The 13,348-nt window shown below is 34.2% G+C and overlaps 1 protein-coding gene across 5 annotated transcripts in view; it reads left to right on the top strand.

Moving 5' to 3' along the window:
- CDH12 (cadherin 12) overlaps nt 1-13,348 on the top strand; it is a 1,102,672-nt gene that overhangs the window by 334,399 nt on the left and 754,925 nt on the right. The window lies entirely within an intron of this gene.

Raw genomic sequence — 13,348 nt, 5'->3', positions numbered from 1 at the left:
AGTCCTACAGGGATGACTAAGCCTGTCTCCCAAGAGCTTCTGAAGACAGTTGCACAGTAATACCAACGGGCCCTACCAATTCCTGTACTTTCTCTCTTGTTTCCAATCAATGTAGTGATACACACTACCCACAGCTTAGTTTTAAGCTGTGTTTACCAAAGGCACTCCTTGCATCAGTGAAACTGCTCTTTTTGCCCCATGCCATTGTCGTTGACTATTCTATTAGTTGGTGGCAGGGTGTGGAAGTCAGAGATAAGGTCAATATTGTGAAATATTACATGCTAAGAATTCAAGGCTTATGGTCTAATTCGTACAAGAAAAGGCATGGTTGAAAGATGTCTTTCAACATTTATGTCATAACACTTGAAACAGTAAATTTAACATGTCCAGAACAAAACAATAATCTTTCTCATTTTTTGATCTAACTTGGTAAATAATTGCATTTGTGGTTATCATTATCAAAGCGCAGATCCAAGCTTTGAGAGAGCCACTGAAAGCCAATATGCATGGAAACCACAATGGATGAGTGATGATATAAACTTCATTATATAAATGGCATTAGAGAAGTGGCAAGAAGAACTATATTATTCAATACAACAGGCTCCAAAGAGCCATTGTAATACTTCTGCTACATTTTCCTTGTGGAGAAACACATAAAATTATTCAGGAATGAGACATTTGACAGTAAATGATGAAGAGATGGTGCTTGGACTCTGTTAAGGACCTTCACATGTGATGTTTGAGTAAGAAACAAACACATTAATTCCTCTTGTCTACTTGTATTTGTGATCTTCATCAATAAATTACTATAACTCAGATGAGCCCATGGATTGTGTAGTACAGATTTAATCAATTTGCTTAAACAGACAGGGACCCCACAAAACTACCTGTCTTATCCTTGTACACTCTAGGGGTAACCCTATAAAAAGCTGCTGTAAGGAAGAACCAGGAAAATTAATGAAAGTAACATGAAAATGTTGCTGAGAAACATGAACGCCCAGTTGAGGTTGGAAGCCAGCCATTTGTAATCCATTAATGTATTAATGTGTGAGATATTTTCTCCCCCAGAACCCAGATGCTTGATTGTTGGAAAGGAAAAAATATATATTTGCCTAGATCCTAGTAAAATGTGAATAGAGAAACAAAAGACAGGAAGTAGAGAATAGAGACAAGGAAGTAACTAATTGTACTGTGGAACCATGACTAGATTAGGAAAAAATAAATAAACGTAAGCTGAAAAATTCTGTAGTCTGATGTCCTGTGCAATTTTTGGCAGCAGATGTTGATGCTTTATTTTGAGTTAGTGTATTAGTCAGAGTTCTCCAGAGAAACAGAACCAATAAGATTGTAGTTTGTAGTTTAAAAGAAAGGTTTTAATTTTAATAGTGTGGTTTTCTTCCACATATGGAGGCTATCAATCATTTACTTTACCAAAGTTTACCTAGTTTTGTGGCTGATAATATTCACTTAGCTTTGGAAATATTTTTTAAAATTCCCTTTGAACTTCAATATTTTCAGGTAAATATGATGTAACTTTGTTACCAGAGTGATAAACATAAAAGTGATGAATTTAAATTCTAGAGATTTTTTAAACGACTAAATTTTATAGTGGCAGAAGGCAAAATTTCAAAAATAATATTAATTAAATAAGTATTGAAAATGGAAAATACTTAAACATTATGTAGAATTTTAAAAGCCAACTCTAATTTTCAAGCATTTTAAAATAAACATTTCCAAAATGCTAAATATATCTTATTTTTAAACTGTAAAATACTTTAAAGTTATTTTATAAATAGTGGCTTTATCTTTCCTCTGCTGGTCTGTGTTTAGATCTAATGGTCTGTTTTTAAAATGTATATTATATTCTCCTACTGATATATAACCTTACTATAGCTATTTTTTAAAAAATTTTAAAAAGAAAATGTAATTCAATAATGAAAACAACAAAAATTAGCTTTTTGTAATCTGATTAATGTATTGCATTGTTTTTCGCATCTAAACTTCTTTCATCTGGTATTTTTTGTCCATTCATTTTTTAACACCTCTCCAATGTTTCTTTTCATTTCTGTATTAATATACTGTTTTTCTTTTTTCATTTTTTTCTAGTTGATATAATTAATATGCCACAATTTTACTTATAATTTTTATTTTGAAACAAGGTCTCGCTCTGTCCCTCAGGCTAGAGTGCAGTGGCACCATCATGGCTCACTGCAGCCTCAACTTCCCGGGCTCAAGTCATCCTCCCACTCCAGTCTCGCTAGTAGCTGGGGCTGCCGGCATGCATCACCATGCCCTGCTAATTTTTGTATTTTTTGTGGAGACAAGGTTTCGCCATGTTGCCCAGGCTGGTCTCGAACTCCTGGACACAAGCGATCCACCCACCTCAGCCTCCTAAAATGCTGGGATTACAGGTGTGACCCACTGCACCCAGCCACTTTTATTAACATTATATTGTGTGTTTATTATTACAGACATAGAACTTTATAACTACCAATATCAATAGATTATAGCAATTAGCTTCTTAATAAAAATGAAAAATAAAAACCTTATGTTTTCATAATTTTATTTTACTACTCCTTGGATTTTCTTGATTTAATAGAGCCATTTATTTCTTTCAGAAATTATAAATGGTATTTATATTCCATTTTTAAAATCTGTAATTAGAATTATTTATACATAGTGACAAATTATTTGTATTGGAGGGCTGTACTAATTTATATTTTTGTCAGTATTATATGAATATTCAATTGTTTGCCACATTCTCAACATTGGCCATTTGTGACATTTTATCTTGCCATCTTAGTTTATGTTCATAGTATCTCATTATGTCCTTAGTTTTACGACATAGTGCATTGCTTTCTTTACTAATCAGTTTGGGCATCATTAAATGGGGTTTAAGTCATGTGTATGTTATTTTTTAAATAACAGTTTAATGAGTTTCAACCATTTTTATAAGGTTATTTTTTCTTAATTGTATTGTACAATTGCTTCATATGATCAGGATAATAATTATTTGTCCTATAAAGTTTTTATATGTTGTATAGAAATTTACAAGCCTGTCTTTGTATGGGTAGAATTTTTTAGTACTTTTCTAACATTTTCTACTCCAAGTTGATAAAAATATTTTACTATATTTTGTATCAACAGTCTTACACTTTGATCTTTCACATTTAATTGCTTAGTCTACATAGAATTGCCTTTTGTATGTAGAGTGAGGTAGGGATATAAAAATTTTTAATTAGAGATCATCAAATTTCTCATTACTACATATCAAATAGTCTATGATTCCCTGTTATTTTTCACATCAGCTTTGCTGTATATTAGGTTTTCAGTGTGAGTTTGTGTATGTGTGTGTTTCAAGGCTCTCCCTTCCATTTCTAAATAATTATAAATAATGGGAAATACTTAAGCATCATGAAGAATTAAAAATGTCAACTATGTAGAATTATGTATTTATGTAGAATTTAAAATATCACATTCATTGATCAATATTTCTTTCCTATACTTCACGTCTCACTGTTTTAATCAATATATTTTGGTTTATTATTGAGCAGGACAATACCATCTCCCTTGTACTTATTTATTATTAATGTCTTAGCTATTCTAATCCTTTGTTCTTTCATGACATTCACTATCAGCTTTACAAGTTCCATGGGGAAAAATATCTGAATTCCTTTTACCTGGAATTCTTTGAATTGGTATATACTTAAATCCGATTCAATGACAGGATATGTCTTCCCACTTATTTAGTTCTTATTTAATAGTTATCAATCAAGTTTTACAATTGCATCACTAAAAGTATTATATCCTTTTCTTAAATTTATTTCTTGATACATATAATGAATATTGGTAAGGTAAGTGATTTTAAAATTATACCTTTATCTCCTGTTGCAAGGAGATAATTATTAAAATGCAATTATTAAAACAGTTATTAAAATGCAATTATTTAAACATTGTTCAGAAATTTTGCTAAAATCTCTTATTAATTGCATATCTTTGGTAGATGATCCTTTGAATTTTTAAAGTAAAACATAATCACATCTCTAAATAATGTCAGGTAGGGTTCTTCCTTTTTAATGTCTTTGTTATTTCTTGTTCTTCTTATCTTAGTGAACTATATCAGATATCCTTTGTGTTTTGTGATTTAAGACTCAACCTTGAAAATATCTTTGTGGTGTGAGTTGTGAGTTATTTTCTAAGGGGATGATTATGTTCATCTGGAAGGCACTGCACACCCAATCCACTTTAAATTCAAATCCTGATGTAAGGATTGATTTTGAACCAAACAAATAATGTAAATTAAATTCTCAAACTCAGATAAGAGCCTGCCAGGCCATACATCCTCAGAACAGATATTTGTCTTTAACAAAATTCTCTAGAAGCAACAATAAACTTTACTTGTTTTCTAATTTAGGAGATACTTTTTTTTTTTTAAGTGTATAGGCTTCCTGGGATCTGGTTATTTCTGGTTTTCTCCAATCCACCTTCAACCTGTGCCAGCTTCATAGATGCTAAATGAGTCACTTGATCTATAGCACTCTCCTCCCTGTGCTTGTCTTTCAGCTTTGCTGCACATTTTAGAACATCTCTTTTACTTTCTTTCATATTCAACCATTCACTTAAAAATATGTTTATGTGTTTCTGTGTATTTTTTTCAATTAATAATGTTCATGTATTTTGGTGACTTTTCTAATTTTCTATTTTATCTGGAATCTTCAGTGTGATTTTAAAGGTTATGATACTGTCAATTGACCGACTTCAGGCAGACATATTTTTATCTTACTCTGTGTTTTGACAACTTATCTTTCATATTTTAATTCATTTGACCCATAGTCTCTAATTTTACCATGAGAAAATTACTAATTAGTAATAATATTGCTATCATTTTATTATTATAAAATAATTGTATTATACTTATATTACTTAAAAATGTATCTACTTTCTTTCAAACATTATTTTTCGTAATGTGTTGTGCATTTTTTTTTTTTTTTTTTCCTGACACGGAGTCTCACAATGTGGCCCCGGGCTGGAGTGCAGTGGCAGGATCTCAGCTCACTGCAACCTCTGCCTCCCAGGTTCAAGCAATTCTCTTACCTCAACCTCCTAAGTAGCTGGGATTACAGGCACCCACCACCAAGCCCAGCTAATTTTTTTGTATTTTTAGTAGAGATGGGGTTTCACCGTGTTGGCTAGACTGGTCTCAAACTCCTGACCTCATGATTCACCTGCCTCAGTCTCCCAAAGTGCTGGGATTACAGGCGTGAGCCACCATGCCTGGCCTGTGTTGTGCATTCTAAGTACTCTATAACATCCTTCTATATTGCAAATTTTAGCCCAGGACTCCCATGGTATTTTGAATACAAAGATAGCAAACCAAGTCTAAAATACATTGCAAAGGTCTGTATAACCTTCTTTGATACGTAGAAGATACTCAGATGCTGTAGAATCTGAAGTTAGAAAGCTGGTGAGTATGATGCTCATTTCATGTTCATTATTCAGTGAAAGCTGGGAGACACTAAGGGCCTGGAGAGTGCTTGTGGGAGAAAAGCTGTCAATACATTTTTTTTTTTTTGAACCTGTTGTCAACTTTCCACACCTGGCTTTCTATGTTGTTGGTCTTCCTTTTCTAGTATAGTAATGCTCAGCTGTATCAGGAGAAAACTTGGCCATCTGCAGATATCCCCTTTAGTTTGTTTGTTGTTGGTGGTGGACCTCACAGTGTGGTTGCTTTTGCCTTTGAAGGAATTCTAAGTACCGTGCACCACAGATGCACTTCAGTTCCTCAGTCTTCTAATTTCAAGAGATATCAGTGGGATTTTACTGGGATTATTCTATTTTCTTTTATAACATGGTGTTTTTTAAATAAAATTATTACAGGGATCTTGGGATTATTATTATTATTATCTTTTTAGACAGCGTCTCGCCCTGTTGTCCAGTCTGGACTGCAGTGGCGGGATCTCGGCTCACTGCAACCTCCGCCTCCTGGGTTCAACCCTCCTGGGTTACCGGCACCTGCCACCACACCCAGCTAACTTTTTGTATTTTTAGTAGAGATGGGGTTTTGCCACGTTGACCAGGCTAGTCTTGAACTCCGAACTCAGATGATCCACCCGACTAGGCCTCCCAAAGTGTTGGGAATACAGGTGTGAGCCACCACTCCCAGCAGGGATTATTTTTGATGTTAGTAACATCTCACACATTTAGCAGCAATTTCTCTGATTCCATTCCTTACTTTCCTGCATTAGTACAGACTTCACCTCCTTTTAAAATCCTTTTCATTATCGTAGGGGCATTGGAAACAAGATGTATGTCTATGCCCAAGTTGCAGCTTCTTACAAGGAATTCTGTTACCCCACTATTGATAACCACATGTCCTCAGCTGATATTAGTCTTGGGTTTTCTTAGGTTAGCTGAAATGACCTCATGAATTGTGCTCTTGCAGACTGTACTTACCCCAAACTAGTGCCCTGGGTCTTGTTGAAGCACAACTACTACCTGATTTTTTTGACATGTCTCTCAGCTTACATTTTTCTGGTGTCATTTATTTTCATTGCTGTGCTTTTTTTACCACCACCCCACAGTGAAGTAGCTTAGCTAATTACAAGAGGATTTATCTTTATGCCAGAATCAGGTAGAAGAACACAAAGCAAGTGTATCTAATTCTTTAATATATCCTCTTTACTGATAAAATGAATCTCTACTCTTATCACTTTGTAAGCTAACAGCCTTCACTTAATATAGTCTTTTGTTGCCCTCGTGTTGTCTTTTATTAAAGTTCGTGACTCTGGCTCACTGTATTTTCTAATACTTATGTATCTATAACTCATCTTAGTAATACTGACGTGATTTTGTGATTGTTCCCCTTGGGTGTTAGGTATGATATTCTTAATTGTAACTATGATATAATAAAGCAAACCTTGAACTACCTTTTCTAACATCACACATGCTCAACAAACACACACAAACCCCATATATATAATTGAATGTACACACACACACACACACACACACAATCATAGTTACAAATATTTTCCAATGAGTTATAAGACCATTTTCATGAATTCATTAGTTGAAATAATTATGTAAGCAATTACTTATTTTTTGATTGTCATAACTGAAATGCTTTTCAAAAATGCCAGTGTTTTTAGGAATTTGAACAAAGCTATAGTTAACATCTTATAAACACGGGCAAGACTTTGTTTAGACATGCATATAGGAGCAGAATTCCTGCGGTCCAGGTTACCTGCATTTCACTTTTAGTAGATATTCCAAATGGTTCTTCAAAGCAGTTGTGTCCATGTGGATTACCAACCCACGATATGATTGAGAGCTTCCATCACTCCACATCCTTGCCAATTATTGATAATTTCAGACATTATCTTTATTATCTTTTTTGCCAACTAATTCAATGAGAAATTATGTGTTATTATTGTGCTTTTTTTGGATTTCTCTGATAATGGCTGTGGAATCATTTTTATATGCTTTTTAGAAGTCCTGTTTTTTTCTTTTTGTAAATATTCCATTTATAGATTTCCAAATTCAATACTTTATTGATTGTTGACATTCTTAATATTATCTTTACACTAAATTATGTTCCATGATTGGAAATATTTTCTCATAGTCAATGACATAGCTTTTCTTTTCTTTGCAAGTTTAGCTTTAAATATATGATTTTAATTTTAATTCAAATTTTGTGTTTTCAATATTTGTTTAAAGAAAGCTTTTCCTATTTCATAAAAATTATATATGTTGGCCAGCCATGGTGGCTCACGCCTCTAATCCCAGCACTTTGGGAGGCCGAGGCAGGTAGATCACTTGAGGTCAGGAGTTCAAGATCAGTTTGGCCAACATGGTGAAACCCTGTCTGTACTAAAAATACAAAAATTAGCTGAGCATGGTGGTGGGTGTCTGTAATCCCAGCTACTTAGGAGGCTGAGGCAGGAGAATTGCTTGAACCCAGGAGGTGGAGGTTGCAGTGAGCTGAGACCATGCCCTTGCACTCCAGTCTAGGCGACAAGAGCAAAACTCTGTCTCGGAAAAAAAAAAAAAAATTATATATGTTCTTGACTTTTAAACTGTTTCTCTTTCATGCATCTGAAAGTTATTTTTTATGTATGATATAATTAAAGAAACCTGTAACCAGCCTTATGTATTTGTGGAGCGTATGTTTTTGGATTCAACCAACCATAGATTGAACATAATTAGAAAAATAATTATAACAATGAAAAATAATACAAATTAATATCAATATGACATAGCAATTATTATAAGTAATCTAGAGATGATTTAAAGAATACAGGAGATGTGCATAGGTTATATGCAAATAATATTCCTTTTTACATAAAAGACTTGAGCGTCTGTGGCTCTTGATACCTAGGAGGGTCCTGGAACCAATCCCTTGTGGCTGCCTAAGGATGACTGTACTTTGATTTTGTGCATCTGCATGGTGGGTTTTTCCTATTCCACTTATTTAAAAGTCTGTTCTTTTCCCACTGATTTAAGTGAAACGTTCGTACATATTTATATGTATCATTTAGACTCTATGCCAATAACATACGTTTTTTTTCCATATTTTTATAACAATTTTTTTATATCGGATAGGGTAATTTTATGTTTCCAACAAAGTCTATTAACTTCTTGGGTTTTGTTCTTTCAAATGAATATTAGGATTAGCTATGGGTGGCCCATAGGACCACCTCTAGAGTAATATATAGAGAGAAAGCATTTTTGGTCAAATTTGTTTGTTATGTGTTTGACATGCTCTTCTTATAGTTTACATTCCTTCCATTTTCTCTGAAGGCTTTAAATGTGTATTATGTGTCTATTACAGATTATTCTATTATTATTAGTTCTTAAGAAATAAATTTTCTCTTTATCGCTCCACTGAGTTTCATTGAGGGTGTATTGTGTTCTCTCACATTTTTTTTTTTAAATTTTTTCCTTGTTATGGAATCTAGGGTCTTACGTTGTGAAAGAATCTCTTCAAGATATTTTGGTACTTGCTCTGCTGAGGTCCTACTGATTCTCCAGTGCTATACCATGCTTTATATTACTACTCTGGGTTGCATCCACCATATTATATATTTGGGCAAATCTGGAGTTTACACACATCAGGCTCAAGCTTGCCCTCTGCTTCTCAAGGTTAACCTCTTTCTATCTATGGCCAGTCTTGAACAGCTGGTATTTGTGCAGCTTCCCAATACTAGTGGACAGAAGATTTTTGTGTTTGTTTCTTTTTCTTCTAATTCCCATTCCATGATGGGACTACTCATTCTACAAACTAGTTGCATGTAAGCAGCTCATTATTAGTTCCTTCCTTCAAGCGACCCAAGATGCCTGAATTTCATTAACAACGTTGGTAATTGAAGCCTTATGGAAGCCATTCATACCCTTATTTTTCTGTGAAAATTTCCTGGATCATCAGTTACCACTCCTCTGACTTTATTGCTAGTAGCTTGAGATTTATTTTTTCTTCCTGTCAAGGTCCCCTGAAAGTTAATGTCACTGAAAGGTGTACTGTACCAGTAATCACACTTTATGAATGTAGTTTGCTTTTGACTTTAGAAAATATTTCCTTTAAAAACTTTTATGAGATTTGCTTAATTAAGCTCTTTCTAAAAATTATGTAGCCATAGTCTGACACTCTGGTTCTGTGGTTTTGTTCAGCTTGTCACACATAATTGCAGGTTATCAGTAGTCCTAGTCTGAAGGGAAAGAAATAGTTATTAGAGTTTCATTATTAAGTAACATCTATCCATCTCTCTAAGCAAGTTAATTATATGCCTGTCCTAGGTTGTCTTAAACAATATTTTAAAACACCCTTTCATTGTGTGTATATATTTCTGCTGCCTTAGCCATACACACTGTCTTGTAGTGAGATAGAGTCATGAGGAAGTTGTTTTATTAGAGTAATTTTTTTCTCCCCTATGGAAGCGGATAGGAAGTAGATCTATAAGTTGGTTATCAATGAAAATATTTGTAAAATATTTGAAGAGATTTATTCTGAGCCAAATGTGAGTGACCATGGCCTGTGACACAACCCTCAGGAAGTCCTGAGACTATGTGCCCAAGGTTGTCGGGGTACAGCTTGGTTTTATACATTTCAGGGAGGCATGAGACATCAATCAAATACATGTAAGACATACATTGGTTTGCTCCAGAAAGGTGGCACAACTCAAAGCTGTGGGGCGGGAGGGGGTGGTTTCCAGGCTGTAGGTAAATTTAAACATTTTCTGGTTGACTATTAGTTGAGTTTGTCTAAAGACCTGGGATTCATAGAAAGGAAATGTTCAAGTTAAGATCAAAGATTGTGGAGACCAAGGTTCTTTTGAGGTCTTATAGTGGCTGCCCTTAGAGACAACAGATGACAAATGCTTCCTATTCAGATCTTTAAAAGGTGCTAGACTTTTAGTTAACCTCTTTAGGATTGGGAAGGCCTGGAAGAAAAAGATCTACCTATGTTAATAGAAATTCTTTACAGATGCAAATTGTTCACCAGGAAGGACAGCTTTGCAGGGCCAGTTCAACATATGGCAAAGAAACATGTTTTGGGGTAAAATATTTTGATTTTCTTCCTTGTCTCCTAATGTGATGCCTGAGTCAGGTTGCAAAGTAAGTCACCATATACAAGGTTAAATAAAACCCATCTGTTGAGAATTGATGGTTTGTAGGGGATGACTCTCCAGACCCCTTAGATAGGAATTTGGGCAAGATAAAAAATTCAGAGCTTAATCCTCATGATCTATGGTAGGCTGGAAAATGACTTCCCAAAGACAGCCATGTTCTAATTCATAGAACCTTTGAATGTTAACCTATATGACAAGAAAGGGTCTTTGCAGCTGTGATTAAATAAAGGATCTTAAAACGAGGAGATTATCCTGTATTAGCTGAATAGGCCCAAATTATAAACACATGCATTCTTAAAAATGAGAGGCAGAAGATTTGAATACACAGAGGAAAAGGCAATGTAAAGGAGGAGGAAGAAATTTGAGGATGTTAGCCTTGAATACTGAAAGTGGCCACAAGGCAAGGCACGATGGCAGTCACCAGAAGCTGGAAGAGGCGAGAAATGGATTTTCCCCTAGACCCTCTGAAGGGATGGCAGCACCGTGACACCTTGATTTCATCTCAATCTTTTATTGATTTCAGAATTCTGACCTCCAAAACTGTGAGAGGATAAGTTTCTGTTGCTTTAAGCTACTACATTTATGGTAATTACTTGTCACAGCCACAGGAAACTGATACAGATGTTATTACATTCTAACCAAAATATCTAATATAGATGAAGGGAATGAAATGGCTTAGAATTTCTTGGAAGTTTATGTCTCACTTTAATGTTTTTTAAACCTAAAGATTTTGTTTGACAGGGAAGCCTTTATTAGTTATCAGAATAACAGAATGATAAAATGAGTTGGTGTTTTTACTTTCAGAAAATAAGTTATCCCATCTGGATTATTAGTCTACCTTGTTACTATCTGTATTTTCTACTAAACTTTTATAATAAAAATGTTAAACATTTATATATTCTGACTACTATTTAGCTGTAATGATTAACATGTACATTAATTATAATTATTTTATAATTTCATTAAAAATTACATTTTTTGCATAGGTATAATTGAGCTAACTCAGACTTTTTGTCTTAAAAATGAATTATATGAAAACATGGTCATAGTAATAGGTTGCCTCAATAGAAGAAAATATATTAGATCTTATAAAGCAGTATATATCTCCTCAAGTCCTTTTTATTGTTGCAGTCTATGGCATTTGGTGAAAAAACCATCAGGTAGCTGTGGTTGTATGCACACGGTATTAAAAGCTGCTTTTCTTTTTCAAGCGTAATGAACTTTAGTAGAAACGAATGAAAATAAATGTCCATGGGCTTTCTTAATGATTCTTCAGAATCAGGCATCATAAACATGTCCACTTGTGTGGACATCTTTATAAGAATCACTCTTGATATATTACTGAGAGAGGAGCATTTCATAAAGAAATGAAAAATGTGGTTTTAATATATACTCTATTGCACCCAAAATGCTGTTTATTTAATATAGATTAAGGAAGTTGAAGGTATCAGCCTGAAGTTAATAATATGAAGCTGGAGTTGAAGTTATCAGTATGAAATAATGTTATCTAATTATAGATACAGATTGATAGATATAGAGACAATTATGGATGTCTGCATATACACATTAATATAAATACATAAATTTCCCAGCTCACTTCACTGAGAGGGCTTAGAAGTAATGGCACCCCAGTGGCAAGGAACCATAACTAGTAGTCAGATCTTGGTTTCTCACCATTCTCTGATAAAAAGAACCAGAGATCCTTGAAAAAAAAAGGCTGAGTCTAGGTCTGAGGCAAGAAGATTATAACATTTATAGTATGCATTTTTAAATTAACATGGACTATCTTATCATGCCAGGACTTAAGGAAGTACTCACTAAACCAACCAATATGGTATGTCAAAAAAGACATAGAGGCTAATTGAAAGAGCTCACGAAGTCCAAAGCTAAAACAATTAGACCAACAAAATAAACAGTGTAGTATTGTATTATAACATGAAATACAAAATAAATATCCATGAGATTACACTGATACATATAAATTACTGAATGAATAAATGAATACACAAACAAGGAAACAAACAAATGGGGAGAATAGGTAAATTTCTCTCAGAAAATTTCAAATAATTTGTGTCATTTTCCCCTCCAGCAAATGGAGCTTAACTCTGTATCCCTTGACTGTGGGCTGCTTTTATTGACTTGCTTTCAAACAGTACAGTATGGAAAGGAGGAACAAAAGGAACTTTATAGTACGAAACGGTGGCAAACAGTACCCCAGTCAGCTGATCAAAATCTGTGTAAACAGAAATAAGTACCCCAGTCAGCTGATCAAGATCTGCATCAACAGCAATAAGGACTCCAGTCGGCTGACCAAGATCTGTCTCAACAGTAATAAGTACTCCAGTCAGCTGATCAAGATCTGTGTCAACAGTAATAAGTCATACTGATGACACACATACCCTTGATATGAAGTGACAAAAATGATACTTTATGGTCCTCCTCCCAAAAAACCATAACCCCAGTCTAATCATGAGAAATACATCAGCCAAATTGCAACTGAAGGACATTTTATAAATGTCTGACCATTGCTTTTCAAAACGTTCAAGGTCATCAAAAACAAGGAAAGTCTAAGAAACTATCACTGCCATGAGGAGGCCAAGGGGACATAATGACAAGGCAATGTGATATCCTGGAATAGAAAATGACATTAGGAGAAAAACTAGTGAACTCAATAATGTATCAATATTGGTTCATTTGGATCCATCTATCACAATGTATCACTA

This window comes from Homo sapiens, chromosome 5 (assembly GCF_000001405.40).
Source record: "Homo sapiens chromosome 5, GRCh38.p14 Primary Assembly".
In the NCBI taxonomy this organism is placed as follows: domain Eukaryota; kingdom Metazoa; phylum Chordata; class Mammalia; order Primates; family Hominidae; genus Homo; species Homo sapiens.
Note: the sequence above shows the minus strand (reverse complement) of the source record. Positions and strands in the feature narration are given on the sequence as shown.